This window comes from Homo sapiens, chromosome 16, assembly GCF_000001405.40.
Source record: "Homo sapiens chromosome 16, GRCh38.p14 Primary Assembly".
Lineage (NCBI taxonomy): Eukaryota > Metazoa > Chordata > Mammalia > Primates > Hominidae > Homo > Homo sapiens.
Window position 1 is genome coordinate 4,476,830 of NC_000016.10, and position 18,946 is coordinate 4,495,775.

Below are 18,946 nucleotides of genomic sequence, written 5' to 3' on the forward strand. Positions count from 1 at the left end.
TGCTGGGCGAGGTGACCCCCGGGGTCGTAGCTGGGGGCGTCGGCGGTGCAGACAGGGGATGCCGGCAGAGATTGGAGCCCGGCTTGGCTGTTTCCCGGGCTGTTGGCATTGACCGGGGCTCTGCCCTTCCTCTAATGCCCTTATCTCTATAGGAAGTGCCCCTTGAGTGGGTGTCGTGACTTCACGAGTGAACCCTGGTACGCCCTGGAGCAGAGTCGGACTGGGAGGGATCAAGTGTGGGGGCAGCCGGTTAGTCCGGACGCGGGTTTACCTATTACTTTCTGAGCGCAGTGCTCTGGGTGGATTAATTGCCCTGCAAAAGCTGCCGGGACCTCCTTGCAGTCTTTGCACGAGGCCTGCCTGTGTCATGCCATTTAAATCGCGTCTGGGCCGGGTCGGTGGCTCACGCCTGTAATTCCAGCACTTTGGGAGGCCAGGGCGGGCGGATTGCTTGAGGTCAGGAGTCCGAGACCAGCCTGGCCAACATAGTGAAACCCCGTCTCTACTAAAAATACAAAAATCAGCCGGGCATGGTAACGTGAGCCTGTAGCTCCAGCTACTTAGGAGGCTGAGGCAGGAGAATCGCTTGAACCCGGGAGGCAGAGGTTGCAGTGAGCCGAGATCACGCCATTGCACTCCAGCCTGGGCGACAGAGCAAGACTCCATCTAAAAAAAAAAAAAAAAAAAAAAAAAATCGCTTCTGATGAGCCGGTTGTCGTGGCCTGTGGCTGTCCATCCTTACGTACTGTGTTTTGTTGATGGCGCTACAAACCAGACAAGGTGGAGTGTGATTGAAGAAAGAAACGCTGGCCGGTGCAGTGGCTCACTCCTGTAATCCCAGCACTTTGGGAGGCCGAGGCAGGCGGATCACCTGAGGTCAGGAGTTCGAGATCAGCCTGGCCAACATGGTGAAACCCCGTCTCTACTAAAAATACAAAAAAGTTAAACGGGCGGGGTGGCGCGTGTCTGTAATCCCAGCTACTGGGGAGTTTGAGGTTGGAGGATCACTTGAGCCCACGAAGTGGAGATTGCAGTGAGCTGAGATCGCATCACTGCACTCCAGCCTGGGTGACAGAGTGAGACCCTGTCTCAAAAAAGAAAAAAATAAATTATCACAAGACAAAATTTGTGCTTATCAGGAGTTCACAGTTAAGACATATATAAGCTTACTTGGTGAAATTAGAAAAAGTTATCAGATAAAACATTCAGGTTTAAACACTGGTGAGGGTGTGGGAATTTGTGGAGCCTTGGAAACACACTCATTGAATGACCTCATCTACCTGGGGATGTGAAGAGGGAAATCCTGTGATTCCTCCATTGTCTGACTTGATTTCCTTTTTTCCTTGGCTGTGGCAACATGTTGAAGTGCTGTGAGTCACCAAAAGGGGGAACGTGAGCAACTCTAGAAATGCCAGTGCCAGTGAGTTACAGACAATAAAGCATTGACCGCCTTTAGCTCACCCCTCATCAAGTCTGTTGAAAACTTGTAAAATTGGACAGCTAGAGCTACCTTGATTTTTTGGTTTCCTTTTAACAGCTGACTCTCTTCACAGGACAGTTGGGCTCTACATCAGGATTGCACCCAAAACTGGAATATCACTCCTCCAGGAGGAAGATATATTTGAAAATTAGAATTGTGGGCCCGGTGCAGTGGCTCATGCTTGTGATCCCAGCACTTTGGGAGGCCGAGATGGGCGGATCACCTGAGGTCGGGAGATAGAGACCAGCCTGACCAACATGGAAAAACCCCATCTCTACTAAGAAAAAAATAATAATAATACAAAAATTAGCTGGGCATGGTGGTGTGTGCCTGTAATCCGAGCTACTTGGGAGGCCGAGGCAGGAGAATCACTTGAACCTGGGAGGCAGAGGTTGCGATGAGCCAAGATTGTGCCACTGCATTCCAGCCTGGGCAACAGGAGCAAAACTGCATCTCAAAAAAAAAAAAAAGAAAGAAAGAAAATTAGAATTGTGTATTTCACTGTAAAATTTGAAATTCAGCTTTAACTCCTTGGAAAGGAAAGAGATGAAAAACTTGACCTAGACTGGGTGCGGTGGCTCACGCCTGTAATCCCAGCACTTTGGGAGACCAAGGCGGGTGGATCACCTGAGGTCAGGAGTTCGAGACCAGCCTGGCTAACATTGTGAAACCCCGTCTCTACTAAAAATACAAAAATTAGCCTTGCAAAAAGTAGCCTGTAATCCCAGCTACTCGGGAGGCTGAGCAAGGAGAATTGCTTGAACCTGGGAGGCAGAGGTTTCAGTGAGCCAAGATCATGCCATTGCACTCCAGCCTGGGCGACAAGAGCAAAACTTCATCTCAAAGAAAAAAAAATTCTATCAGAGTGAACAATAAGTAGGATGCTAGCACATACCTGTAATCTCAGCTACTTGGGAGGCTGAGGCAGGAAGTTAATACTTGATGAGCCTAAGTTTTTGGTGTCTTTGGATGCTGCTTGTCGATCTAAGGGGTTTCCAAACGCTTCTTTTTTGGTAAAATTGGGATTATGACTAGGAATCTGTTTTTTGGAGTTTCCCAGGTGATCCTTGTTTGGGGTCCTTGTCTAAGGCACAGGCTGGAAAGAGGAGGGAGTGGACTGGCAGGGAAGATAGAGCAGTAAGCGAATAGAATACCTGGGGAAAGGGACGCCAGAAGAGTGATTGTTGTCTGGTGAACTGTGCTGTCAGTGTGTATGTCAGAAGCCAACAAAGTGGATATTCTCTTCACTCAGCTTAGGGAAAAAATTAATTTTTGTTTCACAGATAGATTCGTTTCCTTCCCAGGAGTATTATAGGCCTAATTACTGTCATAGTTCTCAGTAACTTTAAAAAGGCTGTGGGGAAGAATGGCATAACAGACTAGTATCTTGTACCCAGCCTGCCTTTTTCTTATTCTATTTTTTTTTTTTTTTTTTTTTTTTTTTTTTTTGAGACAGTCTTGCTCTGTCACCCAGGCTGGAGTGTGGTGGCACAATCTCAGCTCACTGCAACCTCCGCCTCCTGGGTTCAAGCGATTCTCCAGCCTCAGTCTCCTGAGTAGCTGGGATTACAGGCGTATGCCACCATGCCTGGCTAATTTTTGTATTTTTAGTAGAGATGAGGTTTCACTATGTTGGCCGGGCTGGTCTCCTACTCCTGACCTCAGGTGATCCGTCCACCTTGGCCTCCCAAAGTGCTGGGGTTATAGGCATGAGTCGCTGCGCCCGGCTTTTTTATTTTTTATTTTTTATTTTTTTGAAACAGAGTCTGGCTCTTTCACCCAGGCTGGAGTACAGTGATCTGATCTGAGCTCACTGCAATCTCTGCCTCTGGGGTTCAAGCAGTTCTCCTGCCTCAGCCTTCCAAGTAACTGGGACTACAGGCATGCACCACCATGCCTGGCTAATTTTTGTACTTTTGGTAGAGATGGGGTTTCGCCATGTTGGCCACGCTGGTCTCCAGCTCCTGACCTCAAGCGAACCACCCTCCTTGGCCTCCCAAAGTGCTAGTATTACAGGCGTGAGCCACAGCACCCGGCCTTTTTTTTTTTTTTTTCCTTAGAGTCTTGCTCTGTCACCAGGGCTGGAGTGCAGTGGCGCCGTCTCGGCTCACTGCAACCTCTGCCTCCTGGGTTCAAGTGATTCTCCTTCCTCAGCCTCCCTAGTAGCTGGGATTACAGGTGTGTGCCACCACACCCAGTTAATTTTTGTATTTTTAGTAGAGACGGGGTTTCACCATGCTGGCCAGGCTGGTCTCAAACTCCTGACCTCAAGTGGTCCACCCACTTTGGCCTCCCAATTAGAATTAGAGGTGGAGCGACCGTGCCCGGCTAAGGGCCTACTATTTTTTTTTTTTTTTTTTGAGACAGAGTTTCACTCTTGTCACCCAGGCTGGAGTGCAGTGGTGTGACCTTGGTTCACTGCAACTTCCACCTCCCAGGTTTAAGCGATTCTCCTGCCTCAGCCTCTGGAGAAGCTGGGATTATAGGCGTCTGCCACCACGCCTGGCTAATTTTTTGTATTTTTAGTAGAGACGGGGTTTCACCATGTTAGTCAGGCTGGTCTCAAACTTCTGATGTCAGGTGATCCACCTACCTCGGCCTCCCAAAGCATTGGGATTACAGGCGTGAGCCACCGCGCCCGGCCAGGCCTCGTATTTTTGCTTTTGCTCATGTTTTCATGTCTGAGATAGAGGGCCTACTATTAAAGCACTGTGCTGAGGCTGCAAGAAGGTACTAGTGTGATTAAAACAATCTGGTCCGGGCGCGGTGGCTCGCACCTGTAATCCCAGCACTTTGGGAGGCGGAGGCGGGCGGATCACGAGGTCAGGAGATCGAGACCATGCTGGCTAACACGGTGAAACCCCGTCTCTACTAAAAAATACAAAAAAAATTAGCCGGGCATGGTGGCGGGCGCCTGTAGTCCCGGCTACTCGGGAGGCTGAGGCAGGAGAATGGCGGGAACCCGGGAGGCGGAGCTTGCAGTAAGCAGAGATCGCGCCACTGCGCTCCAGCCTGGGAGACAGAGCGAGACTCCGTCTCAAAAAAAAAAAAAAAAAGAAAAAAATAAAACAATCTGGCATTATAATGCCATCCTGATTTTAGTTAATCTAGTTGACTGGCTGGCCTCATAAGTAGCTGTGATGATCATAATTTTTATGCGAAACACCTGTCATTGAGCATACAGGTGTACTGAAAGAATTGGGTGGAACAGGGTATTTGAAATCAGAATTGTTCTGGAAAGTCGGGTACATAAAGCTCTATCTTTAGCACAGTTGTCTGTATTGCACAATTAATATTTATAGAATGGTACACCTTATGTTATCTTTTTATTTTTCCACCTAACTCTCTCTCTAGATTGAAAGGTACTTGACGTGCAGAGCAAGATCTTATCTTTCTTTGTAGTCACAGTACTCAAGAGGGTGATAAATGTTTGTTGATGATAATGTAATGTCACCTGTCCAAGTGTAGCCATCATCTTCAGTAGTTACTTGATCTGCTGTTGTGTCTGGCAAGACTGCTATGTGCTGCTGCAGAGGAGCCATTGTCACCTTGAACTATCTCTGTGGCAGTCTGGAGGAGGGCAGGAGGGAGAAGGGAAGGAATAAATGAGCAAAGCTGAGTGTGGATAGTAGTGTTTGACGGCAGATGAAAAAGCAAACTTGGTGAAGTGTGGCCTGGGTGGTCATCTAACTTCTACCTAGAAGACATTAAACCTTTACTCTCTTCTTTTTATGTAGGAAGGCAGAGGGAAAGTCAGGCCTTCGGTTGGCTTGGTAATAGCAGGTATCCCAGTAATTAGAAAATAACTTAAAAAACTCCATTCCTCTACCATATACTTGAGAATTTGTCAATCTCAGCAAAATTTTCAAATGTCTGTGTTCAGTGTCATATTTGTCCTGCTCTGTAAGACTTTTTGTGTTTATAAAAAGGCAAGTGGACCCAGAAGGGGAAAAATATGCTGTTCTGAGAAACTAGCTGCTGTAGGTTATGCTTTTCTGTCTTTGCTTGTGGCTCTTCTGGTTATTTGAGAAAGGCAAAAAAACCCAAAGTCTTTTTTCTACTCTGTTCCCACAGTCACTCAACACAACACTTCTGATACCAGATATATGGGAGTTGTTTCCCCATACACCAAGCAATTCTCTAGTAGACACACCGGTGCGGTGTCCTCTAAGTCAGTTAAATTCTGATACTCTATCTGGAGATAGCGTCAGATCCCACCAATTGAGGGCTCAGTCCCACAAAACTGTCCCAACTTGAGGCACTAGTCACAAGTAGTAAATTGTCACCTATACTTCTGACCTACTAGCTATAAATCGAAAGTTCTGACAATCCCTCCTCGAGTTTGATTAATCTGCTAGAGTGGGTCACAGAACTCAGGAAAACACTTTACTTACATTTACCAATTTACTCTAAAGGATATTAAGAAGGATACAGATGGCTGGGCGTGCTGGTTCATGCCTGTAATCCCAGCACTTTGGGAGGCCAAGGAGGGCAGATCACCTGAGGTCAGGAGTTTGAGACCAGCCTGACCAATGTGGTGAAACCCCATTTCTAGTAAAAATACAAAAAAATTAGCCGGGTGTGGTCGTGCATGCCTGTAGTCCCAGCCACTAGGGAGGCTGAGGCAGGAAAATCGCTTGGACCCTGGGGGCAGATGTTGCAGTGAAATGAGATCACGCCACCGCACTCCATCCAGCCTGGGCGACAGACTGGAAGAAAAAAAAAGGATACAGATGAATAGCCAGATGGAAGAGATGTATAGGGTGAGGCATGTAGGAAGAGGCATGAAGCTTCTACGCCCTCTCTGGAACTTTCGTGTATTCAGCTATCCTGAAGCTAATGCAAACCCTGGTGTGTGTGTGTGTGTGTGTGTGTGTGTGTGTGTGTGTGTGTGTGTGTGTGTGTGTGTGTGTGTTTATGGAGGCTTCATTACAAAGGCATAATTGAATACGTTATTGGCCACTGGTGATCAACTCAACCTTTAGACCTTCTCCCGTCCCCTGAGGTTAAGGGGGTAGGGCTGAAAGTTCCCACCCTCTAATCACATGGTTGGTTCCCCAGGCAATCAGCCCCCATCTAGGAGCCCACCAAGAGTTACTTACTTACAACAAAAGATGCTCCTATTACCCAGGAAATTCCAAGGGATTTAGGAAATTACAAAAGTTTTAGGAGCTCTGTGTCAGGAACTGAGGTTAAAGACCAATATCAGAATGAAGGATTCTCCTAGTGCCCCCATCTACAAAGGTTTTAGGAGCTCTGTGCCAGGAACCTAGGGTGCAGATCAAATATATCTATAAATCTTTTTGTTTGTTTGTGTTTTGAGACAGAGTCTTGCTGCGACACCCAGGCTGGAGTGCAATGGCGCTATCTCGGCTCACTGCAACCTCCGCTTCCCGGATTCAAGCGATTCTCCTGCCTCAGCCTCCCGAGTAGGTGGGACTACAGGTGTGCGCCACTATACCTGGTTAATTTTTGTATTTTTAGTAGAGACGGGGTTTCACCATATTAACCAGGCTGGTCTTGAACTCCTGACCTCAAGTGATCTGCCCACCTCAGCCTCCTGAAGTGCTGGGATTACAGGCATGAGCCGCTGCATCCAGCCTCAAATTTATCTCTGTATCTTCTTCTAAATTACAGTATCACACCCGTGCATATGCCCAAAAATTTTTTTTTTTTTTTTTTTGAGACGGAGTCTTGCTCTGTCGCCCAGGCTGGAGTGCAGTGGTGCGATCTCGGCTCACTGCAGGCTCCGCCTCCCAGGTTCACGCCATTCTCCTGCCTCAGCCTCCCGAGTAGCTGGGACTACAGGCTCCCGCCACCATGCCCGGCTAATTTTTTGTATTTTTAGTAGAGACGGGGTTTCACCGTGTTAGCCAAGATGGTCTCAATCTCCTGACCTCATGATCCACCCACCTTGGCCTCCCAAAGTGCTGGGATTACAGGCGTGAGCCACTGCACCCGGCCTCATATGCCCAAATTTTAAAGGAGGCACCACATTCAAGTCCAAATGCCTAAAGGTAGAAGGATCAAGAAACAGTAGTATGAGGCCATTTGAGAAGTATATATAGTTATCCCTCAGTATCTGTGGAGATTAGTTCCAGGACCCCTCAAGGGTACCAAGATCCAGGATGCTCAAGTTTCTTTTCTTTTCTTTTTTTTTTTTTTTTTTGAGACGGAGTCTTGCACTGTCACCCAGGCTGGAGTGCAGTGGTACGATTTCGGCTCACTGCAATCTCCACCTCCCGGGTTCAAATGATTCTCCTGCCTCAGCCTCCCGAGTAGCTGGGATTACAGGTGTGCACCACCACGCCTGGCTGATTTTTGTATTTTTAGTAGAGGTGAGGTTTCACCATATTGGCCAGGCTGGTCTCGAACTCCTGACTTCAGGTGAGCCGCCTGCCGCGGGCTCCCAAAGTGCTGGTATTACAGGCATGAGCCACTGTGCCCAGCTTAAGTTTCTTATATAAAATGGTGTATAGAATTTGCATATAACCTATGCATATCTTCTGTATTCTTTAAATCATCTGTATTTATAATACCCAATACAGTGCTATGTAAATAGTTGTTATACTGTATCGTTTAGGTAATCATGACAAGAAAAAAAATCTGTACATGTGTAGTACATATGTAGCCATCTGTTGTTTTTTTTTTCCCTGAAGATTGATTGGTTGATTGAGACGGCATCTCACTCTGTCACCGAGGCTGGAGTGCAGTGGCGCAGTCTTGGCTCACTGCAACCTCCACCTCCTGGGTTCAAGCGATTCTCTTGCCTTAGCCTCCCGAGTAGCTGGGATTACAGGTGCCTGCCACAACCCCCGGCTAATTTTTATATTTTTAGCAGATTCCGGGTTTCACCATGTTGGCCAGGCTGATCTCGAACTCCTGACCTTAAGTGATTCACCCACCTCCACGTCCCAAAGTGCTATGATTACAGGGGTGAGCCACCATGTCAGGCCTTTTTCTGAATATTTTTAATCTGAGGTTGGTTGAATCCACTGATGCAGAGCCCATGGATATGGAGGGCTGACTGTACTGTATTGAGCTTCTAAGGTATGCAGAGTATTGGCACTGAGGGGATGTGCAAATACAACAACAAACCAAGCATAGTCTTTGTTTACTAGGAGCTGGTAGTAACTGTGGGAAGACACAAAACAGTAAAATCACTTTGTAAGGTTTATGAGAGTTTTGAGAGGCCAGGGAAGTTAAAGAGTGGAGAAATGGAGAAAATGGGAGAACTTGTACTGAACCCATTAGGACAGAGGAGGAAGGGAAGAGAAGGAAGGAGGCCAAAGAAAGAAGAAACCCTTCTTAGAGCACTCAGGGTCTTACTGAAAACTTTACCCATAAAAAGAGAATGTCACTGATAGACTCCTTTTAGAACAGGGATTGATTTTTTTGTTTTTGTTTTTGTTTTTATTTTTGTTTTTGTTTTTGAGAGAAGTCTCGCTCTTGTCCCCCAGGCTTGAGTGCAATGGCTTGATCTCGGCTCACTGCAACCTCTGCCTCCCGGGTTCAAACAATTCTCCTACCTCTGCCTCCCAGGTAGCTGGGATTAAGGCACCTGCCACCACGCCCGGCTAATTTTTGCATTTTTAGTAGAGACAAGGTTTCACCATGTTGGCCAGGCTGGTCTCGAACTCCTGACCTCAGGTGATCCACCCACCTCAGCCTCCCAAAGTGCTGGGATTACAGGCTTGAGCCACCATGCCTGGCCACAGGCAACATTTTTAAACCATACGATTGTCCTGGAGAGAGAATCTGAAGCCTTGCTCTGATTCTGAAAGGGATTTGCAACCAAAAAAGGATAAGGATTGTTCTGACAAGTACCCTTTCTTCCCATCTTCAAAAGTACACATCTCTTAATTTGTGTCTTCAAACACAAATTGTGTTCAAAAAAGGAAGTATTTGAGTAGATTAAAGACAGAAACCCTAGGACATTCCTTTGTAAACAAACAGCCTTTTACCAAACACCAACTGTCAAGGGACTTGCCTGAGTACTTGTCCAAAGGACAGCGTGTCCCCATGTGTAGGCAGTGGTCTAATCTGGTTCCTAGGAGAGGACTGCTGAGGCCACAGCAACTTAACTGGCTAGTGTGGGTGAGGCAGAAGTGTTTGAAGCTCAAGGTCTGTCAAGGACAGCTGATTAGAGTATGTCTGTCCCTAATACAGGGTTAGAGCTCAGTACCAATGCTGGGGATGAGGTGAGTTGAAGACACAGAAACTACATGGTTTTTTGGAAGGTCACGAACTTTTCAAGGAACTAGTGGGCAACTGGAAATGATATGTGAAAGAGTAGAGGGAGCTCTGGCCTAGCTGCCAGAAAACTCTGGGCAGGTCAGGTCTGGGAACAGTGGCTAATCCAGGCCCAGCTTCCCACTGTTGATTTGGACATACAGGCCTAAGATAAGAGACCGTGCCCAGAGCCACTGGTCACTTAGCACAGGTAGTGGGAAATGGTAGCCAGCAAATGTTTAATTGAATATCTTATGTCTCCTAGACCACAGCTGAGCAAACTAGGCCAAGCTCAAGGTCCTGAGGGGAATGAGGAGCTGAGCTCAGTCCCTTTTGGCCCCCTTTCTCTTTCCCTCCTCATTTTAAGTATGGAAGCTCACTTATTTCCTTTTTGTATTGGCCATTTGTGTAGGGTTTTGTTTGAAAAAGGGCTTGAGGCTGGGCGTGGTGGCCCACGCCTGTAATCCCAGTACTTTGGGAGGCCAAAGAAAGATTGCTTGAGCCCAGGAGTTCGAGACCAACCTGGGCAACATAGTGAGACCCTGTCTCTACAAAAAAATTTTTAAAATTAGCTAGACATGGTAGTGAATGCCTGTAGTCTCAGCTGCTCGAGAGGCTAAGTTGGAAGTATCACCTGAGCCCAGGAGTTGAGGCTGCAGTGAGCTCTGATTGACCCAGTGCACTTCAGCTTGAGCAACACAGCAAGACCCTGTCTCAAAAAAAAAAAAGAAGTTGGGCACAGTGGCTCAGGCCTGTAATCCCAGCACTTTGGGAAGCCTAGGTGGGCGGATCACCTGAGATCAGGAGTTTGAGACCAGCCTGACCTCTAAAACTACAAAATTAGCCAGGCGTAGCCCAGCGGCTCATACCTGTAATCCCGGCACTTTGGGAGGCCGAGGCGGGCGGATCACCTGAGGTTGGGAGTTTGAGACCAGCCTGACCAACATGGAGAAACCCCATGTCTACTAAAAATATAAAATTGCTGGGCGCAGTGGCTCACACCTGTAATCCCAGCACGTTGGGAGGCCGAGGCGGGTGGATCACAAGGTCAGGAGATCGAGACCATCCTGTGAATGGCGAAACCCCGTCTCCACTAAAAATACAAAAAATTAGCTGGGCGTGGTGGCTGGCGCCTGTAGTCCCAGCTCCTTGGGAGGCTGAGGTGGGAGAATGGCGTGAACCCGGGAGGCGGAGGTTGCAGTGAGCTGAGAACACCAGCCTGGGAGACAGAGCGAGACTCCGTCTCAAAAAAAAAAAAAATTAGCCGGGCGCGGTGGCATATGCCTGTAATCCCAGCTACTCGGGAGGCAGAGGCAGGAGAACTGCTTGAACCCGGGAGGCGGAGGTTGCGGCGAGGGGAGATCACGCCATTGCATGCCAGCCTTGGCAACAAGAGCGAAACTCTGTCTCAAAAAAAAAAAAAAAAAAAAATGTAGCCGGGTGTGGTTTTGCATGCCTGTAATCCTAGCTACTCAGGAGGCTGAGGCAGGAGAATCACTTGAACCCGGGAGGCAGAGGTTGCAGTGAGCTCAGACCGTGCCATTGCACTCCATTGTTTCGCTGCAACGAGAGGGAAACTCCATCTCAAAAAAAAAAAAAAAAAAAACAGGCTTGAGTATACCTCTCACAGCCCTGGAGAATGCCTGAGCTGTTGGACAGTTGCCTTTTCCATTATGTCTGCTTTTTTCTAAAGCTATTCATTCATTGTTGCCTAATCATGTCCTCAGTCAGTAGTTGATGTTCTGGGCTATTTGAATTTCCTCTGAATAATGATTAATGGAGATAATGATGTTTGACCAGTTCTGGGAACTCTTGGGAATTAAAGGAATTAAACTCTTGGACATTAAACTTCACTTTAATGTGTATAGTTGTGGGTGCTGCCCCATTGGAGAAGATTGTGACAGGAAGTTACACAGTTTTACAGCAAACTGCTGGGATTTTTTATTTTTTTTTCAGTAAATTATGATAACTGTAGCATTTTCCTTTGCAATAATGATAACCTAAGGCCTTGGTGTTTCCTCTAAAATGTACATAGATACAGGATGTGGGTTTGTTACAAAGTTGTATAACTATTGCCTTTTTGTGGCTGACCCCTTCCCTAGAGAACAACATGAAGAGACCTTGCTGCTGCTATGAAACCCAGACTCTAAGGACAACTTGGGGGACATTGGATATTTTTTCACAGATGTAGACATCAAGGAGTCAGTGGTTTGTGTATGCGTTGAGTGGAGAAGGCTGGCAAGCATTTGCTACCATGACTGTTAAAAATGTGCCTGTACATTTCTTTTTTTTTTTTTTTTTGAGACAGGATCTCACTCTGTCACCCAGGCTGGAGTGCAGTGGTGTGTTTTTGGCTCAGTACAACCTCCACCATTGTGGGCTCAAGCAATCCTCCTGCCTAGGACTCCTGAGTAGCTGGGATGACAGGCATGTGCCACCACGCCCAGCTAATTTTTGTAGTTTTTTTGTAGAGACAGGGTTTTTGCCTTGTTGCCCAGGCTGGTATACATTTCTTTATATAAGGAGGGGGCAAGTAACACAGTGTTATGCTACCAATCAGGCTTTCAGAGACCATAAAACAAAATCTAAAAGGTACGCTCTTAGTAGTCATATCTGTGGAATGTAAGGAAGCCAGTTTAAGACCAATGTAATGCAGCATTTTCCCTTCACACATGAAACAGTGAGTTACTCGAGCACAAAGCATCAAATGCTTATTCCCCCCACAAGGCCATTCTTATCTTTCACCAAGTGTTTAGTCACTAGGCAGCCATCATCCTCCCTCCCTCTCTCCCTTCCTCCCTTACTTTCTTCCTTTCTTCCTTTTGCAGTGGCACAGTCATGGGCTCAAGTGATCCGCCTCAGCCTCGCGAGTAGCTGGGACCACAAGCACTCACCACCACATCCAGCTAGTTTTATTTTATTTTTAAAAATTTTTTGAAACAGAGTCCTGCTGTGTCACATAGGCTGGAGTGCAGTGGCACGGTCTTGGCTCACTGCAGCCGCCACCCCCAGGGTCAAGTGATACTCCTACCTCAGCCTCCCAGGTAGCTGGGACTACAGGCATGTGCCACCATGCTTGGCTAAGTTTTGTATTTTTTGTAGAGATGGGGTTTCACCATGTTGCCCAGGCTGGTCTGGAACTCCTGTACTCAAGCTATCCACCTGCCTTGGCCTCCCAAGGCGCTGGGATTACAGGTGTGAGCCATTGCGCCGAGCCTCATCCAGCTAATTTTATAATTTTTGGGGGGAGGTAGCAACAGAGATCTCCATATGTTACCCAGGCTGGTCTGAAACTCCTGGCCTCAGTGATCCTCCTGCCTCAGCCTCCCAAAGTGTTGGGATTACAGGCGTGAGCCACCGCGCCCAGCCCATTATTCTTATATCTGAGATTCACCTTTAATTGCCCTCTGTCATCAGCACTTTGAGAATGCCTCAATTTTGAGAATACCTTGTATTCTGGAAATCATTCATTCAGTCAACAAACCCTGACTGGTGTGTAATTGGGCAGTAGGAGGCCAAGATAAATGACCTGTAATCTGGAAAACAAACATATAAACATACACATACCATAACGAGATATGAGTGCTAGGATGGATCACAAAAGGCTTACTTAGGTAGCTCTGAATATAATATCAGGCCTACAATATTATCACTTATGTTGTTTTTTGGATCTTATTTTTAGAAACAGCACAAGCTTTTTCTTGGAGGAAATATAGCAAGGAAGAGGGGAGCTGTTCTGACTGAAGCAGGGTATGGGAGGCCCACAGCCTTTCCTGCTTTGCCTCCTGTTCAAAGCCATCCTCCCTGCAGTTCACTGAGAAATGACTCCTTGGAGCTCCAAGGAAGTCCTACAGCTAGCTAGTAGCAGACCTGGTAGTAGAAGTTAGTTCTTCTGATTCTTAGCTTTCTTAGCAGTCAGGTACCAGACTGATAAACGAAAATCAAATTTCTCCCAGTTATATGTTCCATCCCACAAAGAAGTAATAAACACATTTCTGTCAGGGGCTTCAGCCTGCCTGGATTTGTTACTGGGTTTGTTTTAAATGTTTAGCTTCCAGGCATCCAAATACATACAAAAAAGGTCTATTCCCAGGAACATACTGTAACCCTTTTCATTGTCATTTGTGGGCAGTGCCAAGCTGCCTCTAATAGCTTCTTCTGTTTTTTTGGTGGAAATTCAGTTTCCTCAGAAATCTATATAAGGGATATTTGATAAAGGTGACTAACAATCTCGTCTCTGTAAATTGATGAAGGGATGAGAGGGGTATTAGACTCATGTCCTCTTTTGAATGCACACTGCTTTTGTGGTCCGGCAGGGTTTCTCAGCGTTAGTGCTGTTGACATTTTGGGCTAGATTGTTTGTGGTGGTGGGGTATGTGTGTGTGTGTGTGCGTGCGTGCAAGCACATTTGTGCGCTATAGGACATTGAGTAGTATCCCTGACCTCTACCCACTATTGTCAGTAGCACACTCCCGTCTTTCAGTTGTGACAACTAAATATGTCTGCAAACATTTCCACGTCTCCAAACATGTTCCTTGGGGGACAAGTTGGCCCCCAGTGGAGAAACACTGGATTGGAGATTGGTTGTCATGTGATAAAAATGCAAATCAGATTTGTCACAGGACAAAGTAAATTTTCAGTTACCTAATTAAACCTTTACTTTTTATAAGTCGCTCTAAAGAAACAAAAGTGTGTCCTGTCTTCCATCCTGATTCTCGGTTACTGGAGGGCCCTTCACCTAAGTCATGTTCAGGATCTCCTTGAAGGAGTTAAACTAAAACAATACAATATCTTCCCTTAGGTCTTTTGCAGAATTTATTTTGCTAGGCCGGGCACTATGGCCCACTCCTGTAATCCTGGCACTTTGGGAGGCCAAGGCGGCTGGATCACTTGAGTTCAGGAGTTCAACACTCGCCTGGGCAACATGGTGAAACCCCATCTCTACAAAAAATACCAAAAAATTAGCTGGGCATGGTGTTGCATGCCTGTAGTCCCAGGTACTTGGGGGGCTGAGGTGGGAGGATCACTTGAGCTCAGGAGGTCAAGGCTGCAGTGGGCCGAGATTATGCCACTGCGCTCCAGCCTGGGTGACAAAGTGAGACTCTGTCTCAAAAAATATATATATTTTGCTAGAAATCCCAAGATTTTTCTCTCTTTTCTTTTTGTTTATTTTCTTTCTTTTTTTGAGATGGAATCTCACTCTGTCACTCAGGCTGGAGTGCTGTGGCATGATCTCGGCTCACTGCAACCTCCACCTCCCAGGTTCTGAGAAGCTAGGACTATAGGCGCATGCCATCACATCTGGCTAGTTTTTGTATTTTTAGTAGACGCAGGGTTTTACCATATTTGCCAGGCTGGTCTCGAGCTCCTGACCTTGTGATTCACCTGCCTTGGCCTCCCAAAGTACTGAGATTACAGGTGTGAGCCACTGTGCCTAACCCCCATATACTTTCAAACAAAAAATGGAAATATCACTGTCTCCATGAAAAGCCATACAGGCAGCATCAAAACTACACTAGGGGCCAGGTGTGGTGCCTCCTGACTGTAATCCCAACAATGGGAGGGTGATAGGATTCCTTGAGGCTAGGAGTTCGAGACCAGCCTGGGCAATATAGTGAGACCCTATGTCTACAAAATACTTTTTAAAATTAGCATAGTGGTGCGCACATGTAGTCCTAGCTACTTGGAAGGATGAATTGGGAGGATCGCCTGATCCCAGGAGGTAGAGACTGCAGTGAGCTAATATCTCACCACTGCACTCCAGACACAGTAAAACCCTGTCTCTAAAAAAAAAAAATTAAATAAATAAATAAATGGTTTACACTGAGGGTCACAGACTTTGAGTTGAGGTTCGTCATGAAGAATCTCCATTTTCATTCTAATAGCACTAGATACAGGCTGGGTGTGGTGGCTCACAGCTATAATCCCAGCACTTTGGGAGGCCGAGGTGGGCAGATCACGAGGTCAAGAGATCGAGACCATCCTGGCGAACATGCTGAAACCCCATCTCTACTAAAAATACAAAAAATTAGCTGGATGTGGTGGCACGTGCCTGTAATCCCTACTACTCGGGAGTCTGAGGCAGGAAAATCCCTTGAACCCAGGAGGCAGAGATTGCGGTGATCCAAGATCACGCCACTGCACTCCAGCCTGGCGACAGAGTGAGACTCTGTCTCAAAAACAAAACAACAACAACAACAAAAAACACAAAAAAGGCTGGGCACAGTGGCTCACCTTGTAATTCCAACACTTTGGGAGGCCGAGGCGGGCGGATCACTTGAGGTCAGCAGTTTGAGACCAGCCTGGGCAACATGGGAATACCCTGGCTCTACTAAAAATACAAAAATTAATTGGGTGTGTTGGCACATGCCTGTAGCCCCAGCTACTCAGAAGGCTGAGGCACAGGAATTGCTTGAACCCAGGAGTGGGGAGAAAAAGGAAATATTAGGGGACATTTGTTAAGTTTATATTTTTTTCTTTTCTCTTCTTTTTCCTCTTTTTTTGAGACAGAGTCTCGCTCTGTGGCCCAGGCTGGAAGCTGGAATTCAGTAGTTCAGTCATAGCTCACTGCCGCCTTTACCTCCTAGGCTCAAGTGATCTTCCCACCTAAGCCTCCTAAGTGGATGTGACCACAACTGCATGCCACTCCCTCCACCCCCGTCTGCCTACCAGCTAATTCAAAAAAATTTTTTTTTGTAGAGATGGGGTCTCCCTGTGTTGCCCAGGTCAGTCTCAAACTCCTAGGCTCAAGCAATCCTCCTGCCTTGGCTTCTCAAAGTGCTGGGATTACAGACATGAGCCACTGGGCTCAGCCATTAATTTTAAATTGCAAGTGACATATTCTTTAGTTTATTAATCAGCACCATATGATGTCACAGTTTTATAACTCATTTATCTCATTTAATTCTCATACCCACCTTGTGGAATTGTTATCACTGTCCTTTACAGATGAAGAAAGAAACTCCAAGAAATTAAGTAGCTGGCCCAAGTCCACCCAACTGGGATGGGCAGAACCAGGGTTTGCTCTTGGTTGTGCCTTTCTACAGCCTGTGCCTTAACCACATCTATGTGCTGCCTCTTGGCCTCTGTGTGGCCAGTAGATTCTCTCATGGCTAGGCTCATCTTAATTAACATTTGTTGGGTGCCTACTATGGCTCAGGCTCTAGAGATCATTGTAAAATCCAGTCCACTGCCCCAGCTCCTCGTGTGTCTTTTGAACACATTAGTATTGTGCTGTGCAGAAAGGACTTCTGTGCATATGCCTGCTATTACACTTGTTGAACCCAATTTCTACAAACTTTCATTCAGATGGAGGGATTCAGTCTTCTTATCATATAATACATACAGAAATACAAATATTTAAATATTTATCTAAATTAATAGTCACATATGCCATTTATACAGTTAGTGAGTTACAGCCAAGTGACAGTTGTGATGGGAGGCTGTGTCTGGGGAGTTACATACTGGTGAGGAAACTAGAAAACATGGCTGTCGGGCCGGCACTGTGGCTCACGCCTGTAATCCCAGCACTTTGGGAGGCCGAGGCGGGTGGATCACGAGGTCAGGAGATCGAGACCATCCTGGCTAACACGGTGAAACCCCGTATCTACTAAAAATACAAAAAATTAGCGGGGCGTGGTGGTGGGCGCCTGTAGTCTCAGCTACTCAGGAGGCTGAGGCAGGAGAATGGCATGAACCCGGGAGGTGGAGCTTGCAGTGAGCCGAGATAGCACCACTGCACTCCAGTCTGGGCGACAGAGTGAGACTCTGCCACAAAAAAAAAAAAAAAGAAAACAAGGCTATGAAAATTTAACACATTGACTGGGCAGGGTAATGCATGGTGATCTGTTTTCTCTTCGCTCCAATCCTGAAAGGTTTCTTTGAAGAGCTGGAGTGTCTAGAAAGCTTTCCTAGAAAGCTAGTGTACATTTTGCTAAGTAATCACTGTGTCACTTAGATTTTCTGCTCTTTAAGTGTGGTTATGAGATGTGTTCCAAACAATTTGTTACTAACCATGAAGTTGATGAATGCTTTGCCTTTAAAAAAATAAGTTTGGGTGGGGTGCAGTGGCTCATGCTTGTATTCCCAGCATTTTGGGAGGCTGAGGCAGGCAGATCGCTTGAGTCCAGGAGTTTGAGACCAGCCTGGACAACATGGTGAAACCCTGTCTTTACTAAAAATACAAAAATTAGCCAGGTGTGGTGGCGTGTGCCTGTAGTCCCAGCTGCTTTGGGGGCTGAAGCAGGAGGATCACTTGAGCCTGGGAAATCCAGGCTGCAGTGAGCTATGATCACACCACTGCACTCCAGCCTGCGTGAAAAAGTGAGACTGTCTAAAAAAAAAAAGTTTGGCCAGGCATGGTGGTTCATACCTGTAATCACAGCACTTTGGGAGGCCAAAGTGGGAGGATTGTTGAGGCTAGGAGGTCAAGACCAGTCTCGGTTTGATTGGGTTAAACATTATCCCTGTAAGTTGGCTCTCATTCTGAGAAGTTGTTTAGAGTAGAAGAGAGGGCTGCATTTACAGCTAATTGCTAGTAATTTCACATCATCTGCAATATATTTTCTGGACACTCTGCCCGACTAGTCCTATGGGACGTTGTCATTCATGTGCAAATCAGGCCCTATATACTAAGGGAGGAAAACAGTTGAGGACCTCCTTTTTTTAGGCACTCTTGGTGCCTTGTGCATTAAGATAGTGAGTCAGAGGATAAGAAGGAAGCAGATTCCATTCCCCTTACCACTCTTTGGGTGTAGGCAGGGCCTGCTGGTAGTGCTGGGAAAGCCGACCATCCTTCTTTGAGCAAGTCCAATAGCTGCTGCTGCTAGTTCTGTCCCACCATAGGCACAGTCTATGTAGGATGAGCCAACCATATGTGGAGTTACTGGTTCTTGGTCTGGGCTTGTTCCTTTCCCCAATTTCAGTCCCCACCAGAATCTGGGCAGTCATTGTGAAGAAGCCTAGGAATAATACCTTACTCTATAGGCCTGTGGAAACGTGTAAAGATACCTTGCAGGCCCAGAGTGAGAAATTGGAGCCACCTTGTTCGATTGACCAAAGGCTTGTCCTATGGAGTTACTAATTTTACAGGAAGTTTATGTTAACATACTTTCTATCCATTGCACTACCATTTCTGAGGCACAATATATTTCAGTAGGCAGAAAGATAGAACTGCTTAGATTTTAAATACTCAATACATGCTTGACACAGTTTAGTCTATTTCTCTTCAGTTAC

At 46.5% G+C, this 18,946-nt stretch overlaps 1 protein-coding gene and 1 long non-coding RNA gene across 9 annotated transcripts in view, besides 1 other annotated feature; one reads left to right on the top strand and one right to left on the bottom strand.

Moving 5' to 3' along the window:
* HMOX2 (heme oxygenase 2) overlaps positions 1 to 18,946 on the top strand; it is a 35,612-nt gene that overhangs the window by 2,094 nt on the left and 14,572 nt on the right. The window contains exon 2 of one of the 8 annotated variants that reach the window (NM_001127204.2): positions 6,808 to 6,925. The exons of 5 other annotated variants lie outside the window; for them this stretch is intronic. The gene's annotated coding sequence lies outside the window, so the exon portion shown is untranslated. Of the gene's footprint in view, positions 1 to 6,807; positions 6,926 to 11,814; positions 11,914 to 18,946 lie in introns of all 8 variants that reach the window. 2 more of the 8 variants (XM_017023196.3, NM_001286269.2) reach the window with 2 other exon arrangements.
* On the bottom strand, positions 2,435 to 18,861 carry LOC124903636 (uncharacterized). Its single transcript, XR_007064964.1, has 3 exons — positions 18,453 to 18,861; positions 4,935 to 5,050; positions 2,435 to 2,732 (listed from the first exon to the last, which is right to left on the bottom strand). It is a non-coding gene; the product is annotated as an uncharacterized LOC124903636 (long non-coding RNA).
* Positions 17,058 to 17,247: a silencer, noted in NCBI's record as "fragment chr16:4543888-4544077 (GRCh37/hg19 assembly coordinates)". NCBI's record gives its function as "represses an EF-1alpha promoter that drives an FKBP-Casp9 reporter gene in an ReSE screen in K562 erythroleukemia cells {active_cell/tissue: K562}" and the evidence as "EXISTENCE:reporter gene assay evidence [ECO:0000049][PMID:32094911]".